The 26991-nt window shown below is 37.7% G+C and overlaps 4 protein-coding genes across 5 annotated transcripts in view; 2 read left to right on the forward strand and 2 right to left on the reverse strand.

The window, feature by feature from the left end:
- The window catches only part of MMP26 (matrix metallopeptidase 26), a 287646-nt gene that overhangs the window by 198413 nt on the left and 62242 nt on the right, over positions 1–26991 (forward strand). The gene's annotated exons all lie outside the window — the stretch shown is intronic.
- OR51A7 (olfactory receptor family 51 subfamily A member 7) lies at positions 587–6266 on the forward strand. The gene is made up of 2 exons (NM_001004749.2): positions 587–648; positions 4143–6266. Exon 2 carries the CDS (start codon positions 4174–4176, stop codon positions 5110–5112), a length of 939 nt encoding a protein of 312 aa, NP_001004749.1. The 5' UTR covers positions 587–648; positions 4143–4173; the 3' UTR covers positions 5113–6266.
- OR51G2 (olfactory receptor family 51 subfamily G member 2) lies at positions 9392–16154 on the reverse strand. The gene is made up of 2 exons (NM_001005238.2): positions 15981–16154; positions 9392–12543 (listed from the first exon to the last, which is right to left on the reverse strand). Exon 2 carries the CDS (start codon positions 12465–12467, stop codon positions 11523–11525), a length of 945 nt encoding a protein of 314 aa, NP_001005238.1. The 5' UTR covers positions 12468–12543; positions 15981–16154; the 3' UTR covers positions 9392–11522.
- On the reverse strand, positions 20178–21143 carry OR51G1 (olfactory receptor family 51 subfamily G member 1). The gene has a single exon (NM_001005237.1). The coding sequence runs from the start codon at positions 21141–21143 to the stop codon at positions 20178–20180; it is 966 nt and encodes a 321-aa protein (NP_001005237.1).

The following is a 26991-nucleotide window of genomic DNA, read 5'->3' on the forward strand; positions in this document are numbered from 1 at the left end:
GTTCTAGTGAATGCAATATAATGTGGAAGGCATGTAGTTTTGAGACACTGCTTTAAAAATCTAACAGAGTACGACAGGCTATGTCTATTTCAATGTTAATATTTTGCCAAAAATGGATCATACAAATAAGTGGAATGACTGGTAAACCATTTTATAGTTTGTAAAGTGCTTTTCTAAATATTTGATACTTATAGATTACTATCTCCATTTTGTGGATGATTAAGCTAAGATGAAGAACGTTTAAGTGGTTTGACTTAGAATTGGACATAAAGTGTTTTGATTATAGATAACATGTTATTTTAACTATATTTTCCAACCTCTACAAATCCCATGTGTCAAGCTTCTTCAACTTCAAATGTTTACCTTTCAGATGAGTAGTCTCCCTGTAGTTTGTCTCACAATTTGCCTCTAGTTTCTGTTAAGGTACAATGAATACAAAGTAATGTACCAGCCCCAGGCCTAACCCTTTCTGTGTAAGCTTGATTACTCTCAAGGGTCTAGTCACCTGAGGAAAAGAGAAGTAGGTACCTCTAGATAAAGTGGAAGTGAAAGTGGAGAATTCTTGTTTTTATCCTTCAGGAACTTACTGAGCATCTGGTTCTGGTAAGGTTAAGGAGCTATAAATCCTTTTGGAAACCTAAATCTAAGGTTTGTTAAACTGCTTATATCTGAATACATGTCTATGGGGAGGAAGAGTAAGTGGTTTCAGTGTGTGTGCATACATGAAGAGTGAATATATTATGCCCTGACGGTTAAACAAGAAGGTTAAATATCGGGGTGTTTTTCTAATGCCCTAATATCAGTAGAGATTTATTTACTTAATAATATGACAAATAAAAGCAAGCCTTATTGTCAATTAAAAAATATAAATTACTCTTGTCCAATCTAGGACTTGATGTCTGGAAGGAAAATGGCTAAGGAAGTTTTATTGAAGTAGTTATTCATCTCTGCTATTTACTGATTATCTTCATTGTGTTAGAGACTATCAGACAGCCTAACATAACTCTGAGGTAGATACCATTGTTTACCACATTTCACAGAAGAGCAAACAACTGCTTAAGCAGCTTTCCCAGATTCACACAGGGTAAATTGCCATGCTGAGATTTAAACCAAGGTGTTTGTGCGTTAGCTTGAGAACTGATTTTTGCCTTAAAGAATAGCAATTCTAAGTGGTATGGGAAATATTTTACCTGAGGACTGCCTTCCTTGAAACATTCTCTTCTTTTGGCATCTACTATATTCCACCTCTCTGTATATTCTACCTCCATATATTCCACCTCTCTGAATATTCCTTTGCAAGATCCTCTCAACAATCTTACTGCTCCTCAGGGTTCTATGAGTTTTAAATTTTGTATTATGTACATTTTTACTGTATGATTTCATTTACTCTTTGGTTTCAGATACCACCTATCATGTCAGTACTTCTGAATAAACAGCCTTGATGAGCTATCTCTTCTGAAGTTCATCCACATCCAAATGCATGCTCTGTGTAAGAATGACTTTACCGCTTAAAATATGAGTGAAAAGAATGGACATCAATATCCCTTAGTTGTTGCCAGAGAAAAAAAGGGAGAAAGTGCTAAGAAATGATTCTACATATTTTATATTTCTTCCATTCACATTTATTCTTTACATATTTGCTGAGAGCCTTTTATATTCCACGTGTCATGTTGATGACAGATACATGGGGATAAATAAAACCTTTTTATACCTTTTAACATGGAGTAGTCAATGTGCATGGTAGTAATGGAGTTTGGTAGGGTAGGGTTACATGAAAGTAGTACGTTATAAAACACTGCAGAATCTTCCACAATAAAAAATGCACTAGAGATGCATTCCCTGAAAGACCTGAGTCAATATCCCTCAGCAAAAGACGAAAATAAAAAGGAATAAGAGTTAAGTGCATTCAGAGGTGAGAACTTATTTTATGACTACTGACATGGGATCAGAATTGAATTTGCTAAGAAAACACAGTCCAGCAAATAACAGGAGAATGCTTTTAATGACATCTCACAATCTGCTACCGTCTCCACATTATACTTACCCTGGGTTTTGCATTAGGTTCACTACCATGGTGGGAGATTAATGAGTCATGCTCAAACTGTTCAAGGCCCTTTTCCATGTAGAAGATGCAGAGCTATTCACAAGTTGCCAAAATGTCTCTTAGTACCTAGCAAAAGTAAAATATATTGGCCCAAGGCTGCTTGTTATTTACTATGTACTTTTTTCAATTATCCTCTAAAAAATCACAAAATACAGTATGAATTCACAGTTAAGCTTCCATATAAAGGAGCTCAATCAATTTCCAGTGTCTCCTGTGTTTTCCACTGAAGGTTGATGACTTTTTTCTCTTGCAAGTTGAAGTTTAAAAAATTCTGGAGTGAGGATAGCTTGTCTTCTTCTCTCTAGCCTTCCATTGGCTCTACCTTCATCTTTTGTATTTTTGTTATTTTTAATTAAAATTATTAATTTCATAATTTTAATTTATGCATTTACTAAGGAAGCTTATTAAATATAGGCGGAATTTATAATGATTGTCTTAGAGATTTGTGTTTCTCTGACAGTTTTACCAATTTTTACCTGTTTACCTTGAAGGCCAAAAACTTGATGATAAGTTGCAAGATTGCATATTTTACTTCTGAAAGTAAACTTGTATGCTTTTTAAAAGAGACTCTAAAATAAAATCAGGTTCTGTTTATTATGTAGGCAAAATTTTAATGCTTCATTTCCAACAGAAATTGGGTGGTTTGGATTTTTTTCATTTAGCATTTATTTGACTAAATATGCATTTATTTGACTAATTTCTCTGACTAATTAAATACAGAGATATAAGATTAAATAATCCAATCAAGATGGATAAGATTAACATGAACACAATACTACTGTAGAGCTTCAAATGGTTTCTTGAAATAAAATGGTAGCCTGAAGTGTGAACCATAAGTGTTTAAGCGAGGAGGTGCCACATTTAATACATGAATATGTACGTGAAGAAATAAGAATACGTAACTCCAAAGTACTTATCCACTGCTCCATTTCTCCAACATGTTCTATTGGAAACTACTGTGTAATCAATGCTAATATTTACAGATACTTGTTTGTGGTTTATGAACCTAGATCTCTGTTTGGAACTTCATAAATAACTATAAATATCAAAACCTACCAAGATTGTATTCATTTTACAGATTTAAAATAACGCCCAAATAAGTTAAATAATTTAAAATCAAATGAAAGGGCAAATGTGTTTGAACAGAAATCGTTGTTTATTTTTATATAACACTTGATGTAACATGTATATTTACTCATGTATAAAATGTGCATAAGTACCTACCTCATAAGTATAAGAGGTAAATTAGTCTATAAATGTATTTACTTTATAGCATCTAATGACTTAATGTTTTCCAAATATTCGCAGTGATCTCTGATTATTTTCTTAGACTATTTCTTTCAAACTTTCTACATAAAGCTCAGAGATTTTATTTTAAAGCCAACGTGGGTACTGCTGAAGACTGTATGGAAAAATGAGTGGAAAAGATTCTAAGTATCTTTTTACTGATTCAAAGCAGCTCCATTTTGATATGTTTTATATATTTTGCTAAACATCTTAAAAAGTAGGGCCAGATGCAGTGGCTCACACCTGTAATCCCAGCACTTTGGGAGGCCAAGGCAGGTGGATCACCTGTGTCAGGAGTTCAAGACCAGCCTGGCCAACATGGTGAAAACCCATCTCTACTAAGAATACAAAAATTAGCTACGCATGGTGGTGGTGGTGCACACCTGTAATCCCAGCTACTTGGGAGGCTGAGGCAGGAGAATCACTTGATCGCGGGAGGTGGAGGTTGCAGCAAGCTGAGATCGCACCATTGCACTCCAGCCTGGGCAACAAGAGCAAAACTCCCTCTAAAAAAAAAAAAAAAAAAAATCCTAAAAATCCTAAAAAGTCACCAACTTAGGACAAGTTGTTAGAAGTGAATTTACCATGCTGGAGAATATGAACTTGTTTAAGGACTTCTGGTAAATTTTGAAGAGTGCAGTTGATTAGCAGCCAAATATGCCTTTGAGTATAGTATACGAATGAACCCCTTATCCTCACAAAACTGAGTTTTAACCAAAAGCATGACTGCTTTTCATTTATATGGTTTCAGATCCGGCTAACGAGCTCATATCTCCCTCATTATGTCTGTTCTCAATAACTCCGAAGTCAAGCTTTTCCTTCTGATTGGGATCCCAGGACTGGAACATGCCCACATTTGGTTCTCCATCCCCATTTGCCTCATGTACCTGCTTGCCATCATGGGCAACTGCACCATTCTCTTTATTATAAAGACAGAGCCCTCGCTTCATGAGCCCATGTATTATTTCCTTGCCATGTTGGCTGTCTCTGACATGGGCCTGTCCCTCTCCTCCCTTCCTACCATGTTGAGGGTCTTCTTGTTCAATGCCATGGGAATTTCACCTAATGCCTGCTTTGCTCAAGAATTCTTCATTCATGGATTCACTGTCATGGAATCCTCAGTACTTCTAATTATGTCTTTGGACCGCTTTCTTGCCATTCACAATCCCTTAAGATACAGTTCTATCCTCACTAGCAACAGGGTTGCTAAAATGGGACTTATTTTAGCCATTAGGAGCATTCTCTTAGTGATTCCATTTCCCTTCACCTTAAGGAGATTAAAATATTGTCAAAAGAATCTTCTTTCTCACTCATACTGTCTTCATCAGGATACCATGAAGCTGGCCTGCTCTGACAACAAGACCAATGTCATCTATGGCTTCTTCATTGCTCTCTGTACTATGCTGGACTTGGCACTGATTGTTTTGTCTTATGTGCTGATCTTGAAGACTATACTCAGCATTGCATCTTTGGCAGAGAGGCTTAAGGCCCTAAATACCTGTGTCTCCCACATCTGTGCTGTGCTCACCTTCTATGTGCCCATCATCACCCTGGCTGCCATGCATCACTTTGCCAAGCACAAAAGCCCTCTTGTTGTGATCCTTATTGCAGATATGTTCTTGTTGGTGCCGCCCCTTATGAACCCCATTGTGTACTGTGTAAAGACTCGACAAATCTGGGAGAAGATCTTGGGGAAGTTGCTTAATGTATGTGGGAGATAAGAACTTGAACAATTAGGTAATAAATTATCAACCAGTAGGCATTTACTGTCATTTGCTATGTGCTTAATGCCATAGAAGTCACTAATGAAGGACTGGATGATGGAAGTGAAAAGCTATGTAGTGCAGAATTTATAATAAAGTTGAGAATATAACTGAACAGGATAGAAAAAAAAGTCAAGAGATATATAAGATATAGAGGTTTAATTAACATTTTAAGGGAAGTTGAAGGAAAATACTTCTGTGATGGAGCAGCTGGATTTGAGTCAACCCATAAAGAATGAATACAATTTGGGCAGATTGAGATTACCATTCAGTTAGTATCTATTAAAAATACAGATGATATACAAAGTCTAATCTCATACTGTCAAGGAAAGGTAAAATAGCTATGAAGGATGCTGATCTGATTACAATAGAAAGTGAAATTTAACAGATAGCAAGTGATATTTTGGATAAAATAAGTGAACCAGATTTTGGAGCACCTAAAAAAAGCTTTGAAAAGTCTAAATTCAGGAGGTGTTGGAATGCCAATTTCTTCTCTACATGATAAATTTCATTTTAAGAAGAGCGTGCCTGTAAACATGGATTGAATTTGGGAGAGATGAGGAAGGAAGATTAACAGGAGAAAGCACAATAATCCTGCTGTGAAGTGATGACTCAGAATAGGCAGGGAGAGAACAAGATCATTTAGCTGCTGTTGTTATTTTTCTGTTATAAAACCAACATGTAAATTATGGAAAATTCACAAATTTAACTAAGTGACTAAAAGATAATTTTAAACCCCCTATGGTTTTGCTGTTTAGTTTTTTTCTGTGATTTAGTCTTTCCCTGCGCCTTAAAAAAAATCAGCCCCTCTAATATGTTCTTAAAAATTGATTCCTGCAGGACACGACATTTGGTACCACAATAATTTTCACTAAAATTTATATTTTAAACTTTTTTTCTCATGTATAGAGGAAATACATGATGGAAAAATCAAAAGAGTATACAGTTGAAAATACAATTTGAAGGGGGGCAAACAAGATTGATATGGCAATCTCTCTGGGATTCTAAGGTAAGAGTGTTGTAAACAGAAAAGAAAAGCTTTTCAAAGGAACTGGGGACTTGAATGATGGGTTTGAATTTTGTCTTGAGGATTTGGCATAGGTGACTGAATATTCAAAAACAGGCAACTACAGAGAATTAGAAAAAGGAAACGGGGATGCTTATCTGTCATGACTAGGAAAGCAGCCGTGGCCCTCTTAGACAATGATCCTTGGAAATAGACATGGAAGTAAATACATATTTTAAACAAAGTTTGGTTATCAAACTGTGAAGATCCTCTCTTGCTAAAGTCTCTCTAATATGCTTTTTTACCCATGATTTTCCACTGCTGTTATTTTAGTTCACATTTAAAACTTCCCCTGGGTTCTCTGGTCATAGCTATTTGAAAGATCTTTCTAAAATGTAAATTTAACCACAGCTAAAATGCTTCAGTAGCTGTGCAGTAACTTACAAGATAATGGCAAGGCTCTGTATATGCACAAGGCCTTTTCCATCATTCAGTACCTGCTTTTCTCTACTGCATTCTTTGTCAACATTCTCTGTCTTACGCTTCAACAGAGTAACATAAAGACATCATGTTACTTATATCCAAACCTCGGTTTTTGGTGTATTTTTTTTGGTCAGAAAAACTGCATTCATTTTCTATTTCTGCATAACAAATTATTAAAAACTTAGTGGCTTAAAACAATACAAATGTATTGTTTTATAATTCTGTAAGCTGCAGTTCTGACATGGGCTTCATTGAGCTAAAATCAAGATGTTAGCAAGCCTACATTCCTTTCTGGAGACACAGAGGAAAATCTGTTTTCGTGCATTTTCTGGTGTCTAGAGGTAACCCATAATTCTTGCCTCATAGATCCCCTCTTTCATCTTCAAAGCCAGGAACATTGCATCTTCCTGTGACTTTATTCTATAGTCTCATCTCTGACCATGGCCAGTAAGGAGTCTCTACTTCTAAGGATTCATATAATTAGACTGGGTTCCCCTGGATAATCTTGGATATTCTGCCTATGTTAAGGTTTTGAATCTTAATCAGTCTGCAAAGTATCATTTTCTATGTAAAGTAATATATTTACAAGTTTCAGGGGTTATAATGTTGAAATCATTAGGAGAGGGTGCACTCTGCCTACCACAAATACATTTTCTCAACTTCTCTTTATCTATTTATTTCTTTAGCAGGACATTGCTAGATGTACTGTATTCATCTTTGCTGACACTTTTTGCTCCAAGTACAACAAACTTATACCTCAATTTTATTCCCTTTCTTATACACTGATATCTACACCATAATTTAAAATAAATATGAGCCTTTAATTGTTTAAAGATTGCTTACATCTCTGCCAAATTGTAAACTCCATAGGATACATATGTCTGCACATCTTAGTTTTTCTGTGCCTCTAGTACTTGGCACATATTTGGACAAAGAAGGGCCCAATAAATATCTATTGGTCAATTTGTAAATGCATGAGTGACCATCATGGAATAAAAAAAAAACTGCTCATTACCTAAGCTCAAAATCTTGAGTATTCCCTGAGGACAGAGTCCTAAAATTATAATATGTCAATCATATCCAATTGAAACATATAATCACACCTTCAGGCAGTTCCTTTCCTCCTGCTACAATCATGCCAGGCCTAAAGTAAAAACTGTAATGTCTCCTGAAATGTAACTGTCTTCTCTGCTAAAGGCCAGAGGTACTCAATAGATATTGGTTGGATAAATACGAAACCTGCAGTCACTGCAAATTCTGATCTCTGGGTATTACTGACTGCATTTTGAGACACCCTCCTTCTCTCAGTTTACCACTTGAATATTCTTGACAAGAATTATTTATAATGGTCTTTGTCATCAAGAAATGACAAATAATGATTTCAGCAAATAATGGACTTTGTTATCTCTCAGCTTTTTCTCAGAATATTTGCTTTGCTTAGGATGCTATTTTTCCTTAATTTCACCTGGATACCTTCTGGCTGACTTTCAGGAATCAGTAGATCATCCCAAGTTGCAAAATGTGCCAGACATCCCCACTAGACAAATCCTTGAGGGTGGGAAATGTGTCTTGTTCATCAATTTATTCCTATTAATTTTTACAGAAATTGATCAGTGAGTGTTGAATACTGAATAAATGCATAAATGTCAGCCTCTCTCTCAACCATCTTCAATTCACCAATTAATGTAGCTTCCAGCTTACTTCGCTCCAGTCACACCGGTCCTCTTGCTGTTCCTAGAACACTCAGGTTCATTTCTACTTCAGGACTGCTATACTTGTTCTGCCATTCTGCAATGTTCTTCCCTCAAGTTTTATTTTTCAAATATCTAACTCCATCATATTGTTCACAATTTTGTTCAGAAAAGCCCCTCTTTATAGAGGCCTTCCCTGCTCACCCATTCAATCGCTCTCAACCCATTACCCCACTATGTTTCCTTCAGAGTACTTTGCAGTTTATGAAATAGTTAATCATTTACTGTGCTGTTGTCTGTCTCTACCACCAAAATGTAAGTCAGGAGAACAGGTTTTGTTATCCTTTTGCCCACTATATTCCTATAATGTGTGCTTAGAGAGAGAAGAACACTCAACAACTTTTTTTTACCCAACTAACTTCTGCTTATAAGCACTTCAAGCCTTAACTAAGGCAACCGCTCTAGAAATCCACCTGTGGCCCTCCTTCCCCTCAGGGTGGTTTCTGGGATCCCTCATTTATTTAACACACATTCTTCTTTGTGGTTTTTCGTCTGTGTTATTATGTTTATGTTTTATGTTAGGAATTAAAGTAACTAAAGTTTATTGTGAATAAAAGAACATGCTAAGAATTATATTAGAAAGTTTTACATATATGATATGTCTAAATTGCACAGACAGCCTTGTGGGGTAGACATTTTTAGTTCTTTTTAAAATAAAATTGATCTCAGATAAATAAAATAATTTGTCCAAGTCACACAGTAAGGAAGTAGAACTTTCTATACCTGACCCCAAGTTTAGTATACTTGCTACTATATCGGAATAACTTTTAATTTATCACCAGACATAAGAGAACATAACTCCTTTATGGGGACTGAAATTACAAGTGCACATCACAGAGAGAATCCAGCTGTGAAGCTGTATACATGCCTCAAAATTTTCAGTGGTTTAATGTCTTTTTTTCTGAAGTTTTCTGTATACACAAGCATGAAAGACACATACCACTCATGACACTCACAGGCATATTTTATTCAATTTGCTGTGTACAACTAATCATAGGCCTTTTGCATGTTAATACACACAATTCACATATACACATTGTAAAAATAAGAAATTCATAATGAAAGATGTTGGAATATTGAGCCTTAAAAAATGTGATTATGGGATCTGAGTTACGTAACAGGCAGCTATAACCTAGGCAGCTGTAATCTTTGTTTCTCTTATTGTAATTTTCCTTTTCTTTAATTACATTGTTTTTTAAAATGTAAAAAACTATAGAATGCTAGAGAAGACCTTTTCCCACTCCACTGTTGATCTTCATTTTTAGATTAACTTACGTCTCACTTCTCTTACACAAAAACCTCAGGACTATCATGTTGTCTAGCCTGGAATGTTAAACATACTCTTTCAAATTGGAAAAGAAAAAAAAAACAAGCTGTAACTATTCAAATTACTATAACTCACAAGTCAGCCTTAGTGTGGAAAATGTTGTAGTCCTCTTAAATTTATTTGCTTTCCACGTGCATAAGCAAATCCTTAACTTTTCAGCTTCAGAGCAATGACCCCATTCCTTCGGGGTCTGTGTTACTCAAATGGTCATTCTCAACTTTGTGGCTAAATAAGCTCTTTTAAACTGGGTTCTGATCCTTTTGATTATTTTGGGGTTGATGATATCATTGCAGAAACAGTGTTCTCATGCCAAACAGGAGGGGACACTGGTGTTGGGAGCAGGGACAGGCATATCCAATGTTAAATGTCAGGTGTACTAGATTGCCTTGGAAGAGACCAACCTCAGGTGAGAACTGGTCCACATACACTTCATAGTAGAAGACATTGTGTTCAGCCACACCCTTTCTTAATCTGCACTAAAACCATGCAGGAACATGACATTCTCATGCTTCTCTCTAGGTGTTCGAAGCTCCCCTTGGCAATATCACATTCAAGCTTGCTTTCCTCACAGTTACCTCCAAGCCCAAACTGCAAATACTATATTGACATGTATTACTCAAAATATAACTTTTATCTAGAATGTCTTGGGGGTACAATAACAATACAACATATAAAAGGGCATAACAAACTATCCTTGGTTCCTTGGCTTATAATCTCTTTCTGATACAGTCAGTACCTCAATCTGTTTCCACTTCACCTCATTTTTCTTAAACCTTCCTGACATTCTAGAGAATAAAAATGGCAACAAAAACAACACTTCAGATAATTCTCAGAATACACTGTCCTCTCTCTCACTTCTGCTTCAGCTTTGCACATGCTGTTCCTTTGGACTGGAACATATTTTTGTCTCCTTCCTCTTACAGTTTTTGACTGCCTAATGCCTACATTTCCCTTAAGGCTATTACTGTGTCAACTCAGGGAAAACTTTTCTGATGCTCCCTTCCCCCAGCTAGGGGAAGACAACTCCCAAACCAATTTCTTTTTTCTTTGAAGAATACAATTAACATGTGATTGTATAACGAATCTTCCCAAAATTTAGTGTCTTAAAAATATTTATTTTGTTTACAAAACTGAAATTTTGGCTGAGTCAGAGAACAATTGATTGCTTTACCAGATGCCAATTGGAGAGGCTGGAAGGTTGGGGAATGGAACTATCTGAGGATTCTCTACTCATTGGTGGTTAACACTGACTCAGCTAAGGTCTCAGCCTTAGCTGAGTGAGACCTTGGCTGAGCCTACTGGATGGAACACCTACATGGGCCTTCTCCACGTCGCCTGGGCTTCCTCTTAGAATAGGGGCTGGGTTTCAAAAACAAGCGTTGAGTGAAACAGACAGAAACAGTGGTGGAATGGAGGTGGAAGAGAGAGAGAGAGAGAAGATACATGGGCTATTTCCACAATACTCAATTCATGAGGCATTTACAAATTCTATCCAGTTTCAAGGGGAGAAGAAGTAGACCCTATCTCTTTATGAGGAGTAGCAAGTTCCTGGAAGAGCATGTGGGTTTAGAATTATTGCTGTGGCTATTTTTAGAAAATAAAATTTACCACATCATATTACATTTTACCCCCCCCTGCCCTGGCCACAACAGAGTGAGGGTTCTGTAAGGACTGTAACTCATCCCTGTACATGTTTGTTGAGTAAGTAAATGTCTCCTTTATTTTATGCATGTTAGAAATTATAAAGGATAGGCAAACAAGGGCACGTTTCAGGAGACAGTGGCTCTAACACTAGACACAGTTAGTAACAAAAGGCATGCGTCACTCGATCCCGGATCTGTTTGGTCTTCACACTGTAGACAATGGGATTCATCACAGGAGGAAAGAGAAGATACATGAAACCCATGACCACCTGGACCAGGTGGGGTGCCTGCTTTCCAAAGCGATGGATGACAGAGAGGCCAATCATGGGAGTGTAGAAGAGCAGCACAGCACAGATGTGGGAAACACAGGTGTTAAGGGCCTTGAATCTCTCAGCCCTGGAGGCGATGGACAGCACGGTGCGCAGGATCAGAGCATAAGAGAAGAGGATGAGCAGTGAGTCTATACCCACTGTAGAGACGATGACAAACATGCCGTAGATGCTGTTGGCCTTCATGTCGGCACAGGCCAATTTCATCACTTCTTGGTGGAGACAATAAGAATGTGAGAGAACTGGGGAGCCACAATAGGGGAATCTTTTGAGCATAAAAGGTAATGGAAAAATGAGTGCTACACTACGACCCAGAGAGACCAGGCCAATCCTGCCAATGACTGTGTTGGTGAGAATGGAAACATAGTGCAAGGGGTGGCAGATAGCCACAAAGCGGTCAAAGGCCATAGACAGTAGCACAGAGGACTCGAGGAAGGAGAAGCAGTGAATGAAAAAGAGCTGAGCAAAGCAGGCATCATGGCTAATTTCTCGTGCTCCAACCCAAAAGATGCCCAGGACTGTAGGGAGAGTGCAAAGGGAGAGACCCAGGTCAATCAGAGCCAGCATGGACAGGAAGAGATACATAGGTTCATGAAGTGAGCGCTCTGTTTTAATGATAAAAAGAATTGTGCAGTTGCCCGGGATGGAAACCAGATACATGAAGCACAGTGGGATGGAGATCCAGATGTGCATGCGCTCCAGCCCAGGGATGCCACTCAGCAGGAAGGTAGCAGAAACGCTGCTGCTGCTGTTTCCCAGGGATCCCAGGGTCATTGTGTGAGGAGACAAGGGGGAAGGTGGGTGCCCTCCAAAATCCTGAAGTAAATTGAGGCAGTACTGGTGATTGCACCTGGTGGAAATTAAAGAAAAAAAATAGAATCAAATATACCTAGAACTGTGCAGCTCTTTCTAGTGGTTATGTCTTTCTGGTCCTTGACTTCCTCTCAGTATCTTTTTGAGGAAATTTGTCTCATAGTTTCAATAAGAAGCAAAGACATGGAATTGTGAAGTGATGAGCCAAACTGGGTGAGTTGGAGATTCTAAATGAGCCGCTCCACCCTTTTTGCTCTTTTCTGACTTCTGTATCAACCAGGTCTTCTTAGCCACTAGAGTTTTTACTAGTCTCACCCAGTGGGATGCACCCAGGGGCCAGGTGCAGTGGCTCACGCCTGTAATCTCAGCACTTTGGGAGGCCGAGGCGGGCGGATCATGAGGTCAGGAGGTTGAGACCATCCTGGCTAACACAGTGAAACCCAGTCTCTACTAAAAAAAAAAAATGGTGTGGGAGGAGGGAGAATTCAGCCTCCCTCTGCTGGCACTGTGGGTTGGCAGTGGCTGTGTTCTGCCACTGAAGGCCACAGCTGTTGTTGGGGACTTTTCTCTTATAGCAGCATACTCCTTGTGTTGTAGTCCTTGCTCTCTGCTCCTTCAGACTAAGAAGTGAGAGTTTCCTCATTATTCCTCTTGGCCCTATTTAACTTTGCCTGCCTCTTACAAATAGATCTTTTACTGGAAAAAAAAAGTCCTCACATGCCTTTTTTCTACCAGGCCTCTCACTAACATTCTAACTTTTATTTCACCTTCTTTTCTTTTCCTTTATCTTACTGTGCTTTCTTTGTTATAGTTTTAGTTTTTTTCTTTCTTTCTCTTTTTTGTTTTTGATTAACTTCTCCAGGCACATACAAGCCCTAATTCTAGACAGACCAACCCTTCACTCACCTTCTCCTCTGGTCTTCCTGACATAGAAGCTTAGCCTTGTCCAAGTAGCTCATAAATGCTGCTCAGCTTACAGAATTCCAGAGAAAGGTGGAGAGTATGTGAATGATGACCTGTGAAGCTATTTCTGACTGCTAGAGTAAGACATCAAAGCCCTGATCCTCCTGTCAATCAGTAACCAGAATTCCCCAGAAGTCCAGGAATCCAACTGCTGTGGACCTAAGTGGCAGGAGAGGCTAAAGCACCATCAACCATGGCCACATCCCCAACCACAAGGTCATGTCCAGGAGAGCCCACTGAACACAGGGCAGTGATGCTGGAAAGGCCCAGTCTTCTACAGAGGAAGAAATGAAGGCTCAGGAGAGTCTTGTCACTGGGAAGAGGTCATATGCCAATTCAGGCCTCCTGACTTCCACAGCAGTGATCTTCCATTCTCAATTAATATCACTGGAATATGAGCTCAAAGAGGGTAGGGGCTTTTCTTTGTTTACCTCTATTAATCCAGTATTTAGAACATGCCCCAGTACGCAGCAGATGCCAAGAATGTTTTTTTGCATGAATAAGTTATTTTTTATTTCGCTAACTAATAGTAACTTGGTGCAGGTTTTATCTCCTTAAAAAGCCTATGAATATTCTATTGATAATATTATGCTGTAGATAAGAAAACAGAAGCTTAGAAAAAATTATTTACATTTCTAAGATCAGACAAATAGTAAAGACAAAAATAGGATTTGAACGAATATTTGATTTTTCTCTAGACTTCAGGATATAAACAATGATTACTCTTTCTTGCCATATAGATAATAATTCAGTGTCAAGTGGCAGAGCTAGCTCAACAGGCCTTTAAAAGCATTGCTGATTCTTTAGCTGAATAAATAAATAAACTGATTGGAGAAACACACATAAAGATATACACAGACACTTTCTCACTCCAATAACGGTGGCATTAATAGTTTGGGCCGTTAACTCACTGTCCACCTGAAGATCATATAGGCTCTCACACCGTGCTCCTCAGCTTCTGCTGTGGCCGTGATCAGTGGTTACCACATTACATATCAAAGTGAATTCAGAAAAGCTGTGATAAACTTACCTGTCAGGGACAGACAAGCTACATATTGGGTTAACAATATACTTTTTATGTGTTCTGTAGAATCAGGTTTTATTGTTTTGATGTAATAGTCTCTAATTGTTCAGTGTTTTCATTGCACTATGAAATTCATTAAAACATCCATGTTCCATAATTACTATTGTAAAAAATTCAGAGAGCCTGACAAATAGTAGATACTCTTCAGTAATTCTATTTCTTTCTTCTTCACCACCCTATTTCATTTTAATGTCAAAATAAACCTAAGGCGGAAAATATTTTTGACATTAAAATGAAATAGGATGGTGAAGAAGAAAGAAATAGAATTACTGAAGAACAGCTACAATTTGCCAGGCTCTGTATTAGGGACATTCCAAAAATCACCACACTTAGACTTTAGAAAAAATTTGCAAGTTAGTATTATTGTCTCAATTTGCAAATGAGGAAAGAGAGGCTTAGAGAATTTTATAATATCCCTAGAATCACGCAGCCAGTCAGTGCCGGAGCTGGAATTCAAACTTAGATCTCTATAGCTTCAAGGCACATACTGAGAAGTTGGAAAAATTTTGGTTAACGAATCCCAGCAATTATTTAAGTTAAGGCAGCCTGAAACGGGTGGAGGTTAAATTAGAAAGATATAGAGAAATGTTAAATGTCTGGATCACATCTTTTTTTCCTATAAACTCAAGACAGACTTTCTTTGGGATTGGAACTTGTGCTTCAGATTGTAAGGAGGTACAGCAGAACAGGAATCAGAGAGAATAATGAGGATAGGTTAGAGGAGGGGACTTGGAAATAAAATAAAATTCAGAATAATGATGCCAGGAGATATCTGCTTGGAAAAGATCACCTTTAGCCAGTTCGCCAGAGAGTTCTTAGTATGATAATTATTCTGAGTTCCTCTCATTTAAAATCCTCGCAGAACCCATTAGCAGTTTTGGTAAGGACTTCATTGTTCCTGACCTAAAGCAGCTGTCCAGGATACAGTGGGTTCAGCAAGATAGACTTAATCCATGGCGTTTCTGCCCTCAAGTTGTTTTGCTTTAAGACTACTTTCTGAAGGGACTTGAGCAAGTTGAATGACTGTTCTGATTCTATTATAATAGACCACACTTTGTGATCACTCAGGGAAATATGTTTTATGTCACAGAAAAGCTTTTTCCCAAAGAGTCAGACTACTTCCTATCCATCTCCTTGTTTCTTGGAAATAACTCCTATTCTACTAACTTGTGTCTGAGACTAGGGGTAGATGTTGACCTTTAATAACCGAGCTCGTTTCATGCCTGCATGACAATTTTGCCCACCTAACTTGCTTAATTCTCTGGGTCTCATCAATATTCCTGCTGTTACCATATAGGAGGCAAGTCTCTGGGCAAGAAAACAAGGAAATTGACTGATGTGAGAAAGCTGTTGTCTACTTTCTGAGCTGGTGCTAAGATCAGACCTGGGATCCCATGAAGCCAGCAAAATCTGACTGTAGCATTTACCATCCTTAGCAGGTGCTCTCTGCAGCCTTTTGGTAGACAAAGTCCCTTCTACCATTTCTCTCTCCAAAGCTCGGGCTCAGCCTTCTGGGATCTTTTCTTGGCTCTACACTCAGCATCAAACACCTGGCTACTATATGAACTCCTCGCATACCAAGGCTAAAAATAAAGGCCATGAACGCTAGAGTGACTGGAGGACGGATGTTTAAATCCATGATTTTTATGCAACTGCCCAAGGTATCCACTGAGACCCTTTCAAGGATCTTTAACCAATTCCCTAGCAGGCCTGGCTCCCTGGACCTCATTACCTCAGACCCTGGAGATAAGAGAAAAAGGGGCAAGGAGACTGGTCTTGTGAGATACCAGGATGGAAAGCCCAGAGGATGCCATGTACCAGCCACTGGTGAAGAATATGGCAAGAGTTTTGAACCAACGCCACAACTTTGGGAAAGCAGAGTGGGTGCTATTGATAATGTTTTATGTGTGATATGGCATAACCCCAATTTATGCACACTGGAGAATTAAATTCACTTTACAATCATAAGTGAATTTAAAAAGGGATTTTTTTAAATTGAATGCTTTCTCCATCACCAAGGGGAGGAAGGAAGTCAGGCTAGGTTCTTGAAAATGCTGGGATGGTATTGATGATTATTCTGGGTGCTCAGGTAACCCTATATGCTCCTGATTTCTGCATACTCTTAGGGACTTCATCTCCTCTTCCTGTCTCTGATCCACTCAGAACTCAGTCCTTTGTTTCCAGACATCCAGGAGCTAATTGGAGAAACTAATCCATTCTTGTACACTTGGGGGTGAGATGAGCCCCTGCAAAAGGTAATTAGAACTGAAAAGGAGTTTTTATGTGATTACAAGGGTATGAAGAGTTAATTTTTGGCCCCTGGGAAAGCTGATGAAGAAGGCATTTTAGAGAGAGAAATGAAGGGAGGGAATAGGCTATTATGTTTTGTGGATATCTAGATTTCTGTCTTTATGGGACCTTTTTATAAGTGCTCTTTGTGGTCTCTTTAAGAAACCTAAGCCTTCTTCTCTTGGGTTCTAACATTATTCAGAGACCTTTGCCAGCCCTGAATTTAAACCTTTCTTAATGTAAGTACCTAGTAGAACCAAGAGTAGGCCATCTATAATTGGCTTGTGTAAGTGGTCTTTTGCTTGCTGTACCTTCCTTTCATACTGTTTCCACAATGCACTTCTTCTCCTCTTATTCAGCTATGACTATTTCTACAAATTCCAGCTTAATTTCTTCCAACATAGTTCCATTCTAGCCACTGACATTTGGAGATTGGGCTTTACACCAAACTCATTATGACACAGAAAGGAAATCTCCATACTCTGACATGAGGCCCCAGATGTAAGAAGTGCTCAGAATATTATGGAGGATTATGGTCATAATGATAATAGCAAAGATCATATAATTAAATGCAAAGCAAGCACAGAACAATTAAACATAATGCCTTTGGTATGGTTTCAGGTAGTGTTGTGTGCAGTTCTGTCAAGGACTTTTGTTTCATTTCTCAGCCCCAAATAGGGAGAGAAATTGTGTTATAAAAATCCCTTTGGGTTTCATTCAAATTTTACCTATATTTATGGTTTACCATCATATGTTGATTCTCCATAAAATATTCAAAATGAGAAGGGTAATCTTTTCTCTAATATCCTACCTAAAAAGTATACTTTAATTCAGAAAATAAAGTGCTTCTAGTAGTAAATAAATCCAGTCATTACTGATAGGTATCAGATGTCATCTTTGAGTGTTTACTTAGACATAACACTATATGAACAAGTGAATATTTATTGAATTCTGTGAGTTTAGAGGTAGCTAATCTTTTAAGTCAAACCACTGGAGCTCATTTAGATTCTGTCCTGATTTCCAAACAATATCCCATGAGCTGAGTAACAAGTTGGTATTGAAGGGATAACTGACAAATGGCAGAAAGCATAGGCGCAGCTTGTAGGACTTTTATATTCTTGTGACAAGTGGATGAAGTACCTATCTTATTTGAACTCTGTAAAAGGGAAGCTCTTCTTTTCCCTAGGCTCACAATTCAGATGTAGTCCAAAGAGCTCTGCTATAACCAAGTTGTCCCAAATCCTGCCTTGGGGCCTCAGTCTAGCAAAGAGAGAGGCATACTGACTTTTCCAAAAGAGGCCCAGCATGAGTAAGTGGACTAGGTTGTAAACATGGATAAAATACAATAAAACAAAACAAAACAAAATAAAATAAAATAAATGACAGTGGCAGATCCGTGAGGGATTCAAGTCATGCACTGGCCAAAGGCTGATGGCTTCATCCAGTATGGAAACACTGTACTAAGAAAAAGTGTAGTTACGGAAGGTTTCTAATTTGGGACACATATGCATGCATGTGCAGATCTGTATGGTTTCACTTGTGTGAGCATGTAAGCACTGTTGTTCAGTGCATGTATCTTATCAAAACTTGGTATTTCACGAGAATGTATATTTGTATGAATCTACATATTTAAAATACTCGAGCCATTGTGTACCTTTGTATGTATTCATGATCATATGCACTTATTTAAAGTTATGCAAAAGCGGTTATGTTTGCAGTTGTTTTCTTTGGTGTCTTCTTCACAGGGAAAGAAGAGGCTCTAAAATAGATCTTTATTAATTTTTAAAAAGTTTTATTAAAAGTTATTGCTTTTAAAAAATTTGTATAATTTTAAAGGGTACAAGTGCAGTGTTGTTACATAGATATATTGCATAGTGGTGAAGTCTGGCCTTTTACTGTAACCATCACCTGAGTAATGTGTATTGTACCCATTAGGTAATTTCTCATGCCTTACTGCCCTCCCATTCTCCTACATTTCTGAGTCACCAGTGTTTATTATTTCGAACACTATGTCCAGGTGTAAACATTATTTAGCTTTCACTTATAAGGGAGAACATGCAGTATTTGACTTTCTGTTTCTGAGATGTTTCACTTAATGGCCAACAAGCATATGAAAAAATGATCAACTTAATTGATAATTTTTAGTGTAGGTAACTTGCTTCTAGCTCTACTAGTTAAATTTACTTCTTCTTCATGGTGAATTTCACATTTTTATGTTTTCCTTCTGGTGACTTTCCTTTCTGGAATCTAGAGTCAAGACAAGGTAACTAGAAAGAGAAGAAATTGCTGTTTAAAACCCTCTCCTTCTCATGACTCCACATAAAGTCATAGCAGAAAATACCTACATGAATATATAAAGAGTTACTAAGTTCACTCCCTATGTATCTAGATATATGTGATAATGTACAGAAATGAATTCACACAAACTGGCCAACTAGGATATATGTACCAACACAAACAAGCATGACACAGCAGATTTATATGCCAAGGAATATCAAAATACACCAAGAAAGAAAAACAGCAGTATTTGTTTCTTCATGCAGACTTTGTTTGATATGGCTAGATACAGAGATGAGAGAAACGTCTTACAAATAAGCACAAAATAACACATAATTTTCTTTTACATTTTTACTCTTTTACCTTCATATCTAAAGGAAGAAATCAAGGCTTTTCCCCAGTTACTCAGGTGATAATCCTCAATCTCAATTACATCTTTTGAGGATTATCCATGCATAATTTTGTGCTGTTTCAATTTGATAACTTCCCTTAAACTCCCAGGGTGTCTCCTCCTTTTCTTAATTTTGTGGGCATATGTTTAGTAAAGACTATCATGAAAAATCATTGCCTGGGGTGTGGATATAGATATGTACAAATATGTTGTAAATGAATAAAATCTGTAATTATGATAAAGTAACATAAAAATAAATAAATAAAAATATGTTTAAACAGTTAATCATCAATGAAATTACACTGGCCAGAGAATTGAAAGATGAAACTTTTGTACTGTTTTAGATTTTGTCCAATCATAATGGTTAATATTTATTGAAAATTGTATATTTGCCAGACACTGTGTTAGAAAACTACCTAAATTATTAAATATTTACAACATCCCTATGAGGAAGGAAGGTATTATAATTATTTCCTTGCTCATTCTGCAGTTGAGGAAACTGGAGAACAGAGAGGTAAGTAACTTTCTCCTGGTCACACTGCCTTATGTTGCACAGCCAATTGCCTTTTTGTTGACAGTCAACGGTTTATTATTTTGCCACAGCACAGCTGAAAACAAACAGAAACCTGTGGGCTTTATGTCCAAAACTTCCTCTCTTTACTCTAACTTAATCCTTCCAAAAACACCTAAGTGACTTTATAAACTGAAACTTCTTAATGATGCGCTGGCGAATTTGCTTGGTCTTGATGCTGTAGATGATGGGGTTCATAAGGGGTGGTACCAGCAGATACACATAGGACATGAAGAGGTGTACAACGCGGGGCAGATGTTCACCAAAGCGATGCACAAGAGACAAGCCAATCATGGGGATGTAGAAGAGCAGTACAGCACAGATATGAGAGACACAGGTGTTGAGGGCTCGGAGTCGCTCCTGGTGGGAGGCAATGCTGAGCACGGTGCGAAGGATGAGGGCGTATGAGAGAAAGATGAGCAGGGAGTCCACACCCACGGTGCAGGCCACAACAAAGAGCCCATAGATGTGATTGACAATGATGCTAGAGCAGGCCAGCTTCATGATCTCCAGGTGAAGACAATAAGCATGAGCCAGCACATGGGAGTGGCAGTATTGGAAGCGCTTCAGGAGGAATGGCAAGGGGAGGATGAGGAGAGCACTTCTAAGCACTGAGCTTAGCCCCATCTTGACAATACATGCAGGTGTCAGGACGGTGGAGTCATGCAGTGGGTTGCAGACGGCCACGTAGCGGTCAATGGACATGGATAACAGAACTGATGACTCCATTGAAGACAAGGTGTGGATGAAGAAGAGCTGAGTGAAACAGGCAGGGATGCCAATCTCTCTGGTATCAAACCAGAAAATGCCCAGCACAGTGGGCAGTGTGGAAAGGCAAAGGCCTAAGTCTGTGACAGCTAGCATGCCCAAGAAATAGTACATGGGTCCATGGAGAGTGGCATCAGTACAAATGACGTGGAGAATGGTGAGGTTCCCCAAGATAACTGTCAGGTAGATGAAGCAGAAGGGAATAGAGATCCAGCCATGGAGACCTTCTAGACCTTGGAAGCCCGTCAGGAAGAAAGTGGCTCTTTGGAGGCTGCTATTAAGAAGAATTGTCATAGCTTTACAATCTTGGACTCAGAAACCTGGAATATAGAATGAGATTCCTGGAAAGTGACAAGGCTGAATTCTCACTCACCTAAATGTCCCAAGATCAGCCAGTAAGGAAGCATCTGCAGATGGCATAGGGGAGAACTGGGTGGGGGCTGATCTATTAGCCTTTTCTACTGGGTCTAGGAAGGAGACTTTTGATGGATGAGGAGGCAAATAATAGTAGGCTAATCTGAAGCCTGGAACAAAGGAACATCTTGGAAGAATCTTGGACTTCAGAAAACAATTCTAGAAAAGGGGAATTTGGGACTTCGTTCTGAGAGATATGATACGAGATGTATGTCTTTAATAGCAGGGCAGTTAAGCCAGGACTGGATCTAGAGATGGGAAGGAAGAAGAGATTTACACTAGGTTTGAAACACAAGGAGCAAAGGAGAAAAATCTGAAATCACCAGGAAAAGCCTGAAATCTTTGGTTTAGAATGAGGAAACGAAACCAGAAGGCATTCAGAGTGAGTTTTGCCTGTGGGGCTGGGATTGATATGACATCTAGGTATCCAGGTCTGTTCCTGTAATATCTGAACTGAGTTCTCCTTTGTTCTGCCTTCATAAATTTTATTCAATTGCATTGAAAAATGCTCTATTGTGTTATATATATATAAGTGTAGTGTGACTAGTACATTGTCACATGCATTAAAATCCTAAAAGATAACATTTATTAAATGCATTGTGAGCCTGTTAATTTGTAAATGCCTAATGTGCATTACATCATTCAACTCTGACACCAGTTCTATCTTGTAAGTTCTATTCTTAGGAGCATAGTACAGGTGAGAAAATTGTAGCGCAGAGAGGTAAAGTGACCTGGGTAGGTTTACAGAGCAAGTAAGTGTTGGGGATGAAATTTAAACCCTGACATTGTACTGCAAAGTCTATGTTATTGGACATTAAACCGTATTTTCCCACTACTATTGCACAGTACTTTAGCCATTAGAAGAGAACATTAAAAAAATTAAATTTAAAATCCCATGCGTTTCCTATCTTGGAAAAGTCTATGAATAGACATTTCCATTATATGAATACCATTCAATAAGTCAAGATGGATGGCAACAGAAGACACATGTTTTAGAGACCGAGTCCAGTTTGGATATGCTGAATTTAAAGAGAAATTTCTGGGGAGAGGGTCTAGAGGATATTATATGTAGCGATTGTGGTGTGACTGAGGGCTTGAGTTACAGGTATGCACCGTGGGTATGGAGAAAGTCCCTAGGAGATGAATGGTGAAAAGGAAAGATGGGGGGTCAGTTCATAAAACTGATAACTTTTAAATGAGGGCAGGTCATAATGTTAAAACTAGAAAGGGGACAGAGAATGGAGAATCAGAGAAATAGGATGAAAGTAATAGTACATAATGTCAATAAAACCAAGCCACCACTGTTAACTACAAAAAAAAAAAAAATGAAGTAGGACAAGTTTGTTTGTTTGTTTGTTTGTTTTTTAGACATTTTACTTACAATGGCTAAGTCACTGTTAATTTTTCAGAGACTGTTTTAATAGACTGGCAAAGCATTGTAAGGGCTTACCTTATTAGTGGGTGAGGAGGATTAAGTAAAAAGTTTATATTCTGTGCCATTTCCCTCTGAGAGAAAATCTACAGATGGGTGAGAATATTAGGATTTTTTAGAAAAGAAAGATAGGAAGTTGAGAACATTCTTTCAAAAAGCTTCTGTTTCTTTCCTGGCAAAGTAGAAGCACATTGAAGGGCCTCTACTGAAGAAAGAATACAATCCCTGTAGCTTTTGCCACTCACATTTCAAATCCAAATGAATAACAATAAAATAATAACAATTTAATATAAGAATAAAACCATTCTTGTTTTATGATTTCAAATGAGAAGCAAAAAAAAGGGATATAAAGAACGATGGCAAGGAAAGAGGAAGAAATAAAGGAAAGAAGTAGAGACTTGGAGGGGAACTGGGCTGTGAAGGAAAAAGTAGATATCAAAGGATTTGCAGAGTTTGCTGTGAGCAGTTTAGGCAGTGATGCAAGCCCTTATGGGAGAGAGAGCATTCATTAAGTGAGAAAATGGCAACATATTTTAATAAGAAATAGCAATAAAGAAGAGAAAATTTTCCATCAATAAAAGAGAAATTCAAGTAAAAGTTTAAATATATGTATGACTTTTCAGCCAGCAGGCATAGTGAAGCTGGTTTGATTCTATCTTACTCTGAGCCATTTCAGAGTTTGAGAAATACCAGAAACCTTTGGAGGTCATCTATGTTCACATTTATGTCTCCAGACAGAGAAAAGTCATTCTGCCTACCTAGTGAGAGGTTGCAATCATAGTATTCCATCCCATTTATTTTCTCACTTTCAAAATATAGTCCTTGCATATTATATTTTGGATATGGGTAAGAGGCAAGTGTATAAGGTATGAGGAAAAAAAATAAATAAAAGCACATCATGACTCACACCCAAGAAATGGAATTGCTGCATCATCAGAGCTCACAAGCCTAGCACAGATTTGGAACTTAGTAAAGTCTGCTCAATACATGTTGAATAAATGTATGAGTGAATGGATAAAAAGAGATGAAATGCAATAGGGATTACACAGAATAGTTTTTAGTGCAGCTATTGTCCATTTTCTTCTCAATGGCACTTACCTCCAGATTAGTGGATCAGAGAAGTATCATCTGATTTCCTCCACTAGACTGCATGAGACACCACTGTCCTTTCAGCTCTAATTTATTGAAATAAATGAATGTCATCCTAGGGTTTATGACAGACAGAAAAGAGGTGGGCCGGGCAATGATCCTGATGAGACTCTGACTCCCTCTGGCTCCTGTTCCTCATATGGTTGCATACAATGTTGTTAACTATTATCAGCATCTGTCTTTATGACAGTCTCCAAAGTATCTTCGAAGTACAATCATGACCTTATTTTAGTATAGAGCTTAATTGTTACAAAGTGCTGTCAAATCCACTCTGATTGTCATGATACAATTTAAGGTGAGGAAGGTAGAAAAACTAGTGCTTTGAATGAAGAGAAAAGAGATGACAGGCAGCAAGGAATAAACAAAATGATAAACATGACTTTTACAAGATCACACAGAATGACAAAGCTAGGACTAGAACCACAGGTCAATCTCAAGTCCATTTGCCCCTCAAAACTGCCTTGACTGACATGATGAGGGGATTTAGCAAACAGCTAAGACTGAGAGCTCAGTGTGTGGCTCAGGTTCCCTGTGACTAGGGATCTATGTGTTCTGACTGTTTTCTATGTGCTTCTGCTTGCAATGCATGCCTGAGCCGTGACAGTTGGAGAGAAAAGGGCTTGGAGGACATACTTCCATCCAGAGCTCAGGTTTGATGGTAGCTCAGCTACAAGACTATTCCGTTTAGACTCAAGGTCTTTTTGAAGAGCCCAAAAGCTTCTCCTCAGGGGCCTTTCCCAAGTCTGAGAATTCCCTGACGAGTTCTCATGGCTTTTTCTGAGGACAGAGGTCACAAGAGGCTGGGAAACCCCAATACTTGAGTAATGAGATTAAAAAATCAGGTGTTAAGAGGGGAATCTATCATCTATCATGCCTGATCTGTGGGCAAGGGATACTAAATGATACTTTCAAGATGTTAGGATGTTTCTAGTTGTGCATTTCAAGTTGGAAAATTGGTTGAGAAAGACCTAGCCAGGCCTGAAGACCAGTATTGTGGCGTGTGGGGAGAGGGTCGAGGGGGGAGAGAGAGAGAGAATTCAGATTCCAACACTTTCTAGCCATGTGACTATATGACCTAGGACAAATTACTTAATCTTTCTGAGATTATTTTCTTATGCTTTAAAAAAGGAATTTTTCCTCCTTTTTTTTACACAGATCCTAGTACACTATCAGACATCCTTCCTGTTTCAGAGTTTACTGCTAATATAATTTGGTTTGAGTTTAGAGAGAAGGAGAGCTCTCTTCAGCCTTCCATCTAAAAACCACAGGTTTCTTCATTACCATTGGCCATTCTTTGTGTTTTCTCCACAATACACATGTAGTTTGAGTCATAATTCAGAAATTTATACTCTAAATGTCAATTTCATATCTTCAAATGGTTCACCAACCCATTTTAACTACCAACGTCTGTATCAGGTATTCTTCCAAAATCAATGTAAACAATTGGAATAAACATCTGAACAGAATAGCTGAAATGTAATGGGTTTTCAGTAACACAATTATTTAAATAATTAGTAGATTGAGCATAATCTTCAGTTTCCAGGATTGGAATTAATTTATACTTGTCTTGGTTTCCCAACCAGTTTTAGATCTGTCTCAGATTTTTTAATTTTTATTTTTTTTCACGTAAGTCTTAGATAATAGCAGTAAAATGAGCTAGGATGGGTTGCTAGATCTCCTCTTTGTACTTCAAGGTTCTGCTGCAGCTTCATCTAGCCATGTGGGATACATGTGCAGTGCACACACTTCTCGCTTTAACACATTAGTAAATCTGAAAAATGACCAGTGAGATCCCATCTCTCTTTTCTTGACCATTTGCAGTGGAATATTAAAGCTAAAAAGAGAGCAGGCAGGGCCCTCACTGATACAATGAAATGTAATGGAACACAAGGATGCAGATGTAGCTAACTTTTTCCAGGTCCAATTGTTGGTGGGCAATGTATTTGACAATGCTGGCCCTTCTAGATACTTTCTTTAAAAAAATTAAACACTTTGGTTACTTCTGCCGAAGCTCGTTAAGTGAATGAAACTACTAGCTACAAGTAGTCTGGAGTCAAAAAGAAATTATTTGATTAAGTAAACCCAAAAATATGTGCAGCAGAGAAAAACCAATGTGTTTTGTGTTTATTTTTTTAATTATTATTATTATACTTTAAGTTTTAGGGTACATGTGCACAACACATCATTTATGGGAATGGTATGACTTATTCCACTGTTTGAGAACGTTATTTTATAATAAACCCATTAGCTGCAAAGAGCTTGGCAAAAGAAAGTTTGTGCTTCAAACTTACTCTATTTCTGTTTCTCAGAAAAAAAAGATAATGAATTCAAACCTTGTACAAAATGTTTGTCAGCAGGTACTATCACTGTGGTGGCCAAATTGATATAATCAATCACATGACAATCAGAAGAAAAAAATTAGCATCAATGTCAAAAGTTTGGAATTTTCTTCAGAACACTGTATATAAAAGTGCTTATGCACAGCTGCTGAAGGTAGATTCACATGTTATGCTATAAATTCATAATTTTTCAATTAGGTTGAATAACTGTTCATTCAAATTAATTTTACTCCCTTTTTATTGCAGTTTTTCTAGTCATTGTGAAATAGAAGGGATAGCTGTTGTGAGGTTGGCTCCAGTAGCAAAAGCTAGATTATGTTAATTCTGACTCATTATTTAGATGCTTTAGATAGAAAATCAGTTAATTATATAAGTTTAATTATGTTATTCTAATTCATTATGCAAAGTATAGTTTTTGAGCATTTTCTCTGTCAAGTTTTATTCTGTAAAACACTTAACCTTATTGTGAATGCTATTTTTAATTCAGTTAAGAAGTTCAGCATTAAAGATACAGATTTTCATGTAGCAATAGTATGAATGCATATTTTGTTTTTAGAGGACAGCAATATGATAAAAACAATCAATGTTCTTGTAAAATTGAGAAACGTTTTGTTCAAAAATGTACTTGGAATAATCTTGGTGTGAACATAATTTATGACTATATACAGATAATTCTTTCAATTTCTTTGATTTATATATACATTTATAGTAACCAAATTAGGACATTTTGTGGCAAAGATTATATTAATTTTAAAAATAAAAACATCACTATTAAAGTACAGTTTTTTGTTGTTGTTGATCATCTTCA

Source organism: Homo sapiens, chromosome 11, assembly GCF_000001405.40.
Source record: "Homo sapiens chromosome 11, GRCh38.p14 Primary Assembly".
Lineage (NCBI taxonomy): Eukaryota > Metazoa > Chordata > Mammalia > Primates > Hominidae > Homo > Homo sapiens.

Excerpts from the sequence above, each read along its gene's own strand:
- OR51A7 (NM_001004749.2), top strand. The coding sequence starts at position 4,174 with ATGTCTGTTCTCAATAACTCCGAAGTCAAGCTTTTCCTTCTGATTGGG.
- OR51G2 (NM_001005238.2), bottom strand. The coding sequence starts at position 12,467 with ATGACCCTGGGATCCCTGGGAAACAGCAGCAGCAGCGTTTCTGCTACC.
- OR51G1 (NM_001005237.1), bottom strand. The coding sequence starts at position 21,143 with ATGACAATTCTTCTTAATAGCAGCCTCCAAAGAGCCACTTTCTTCCTG.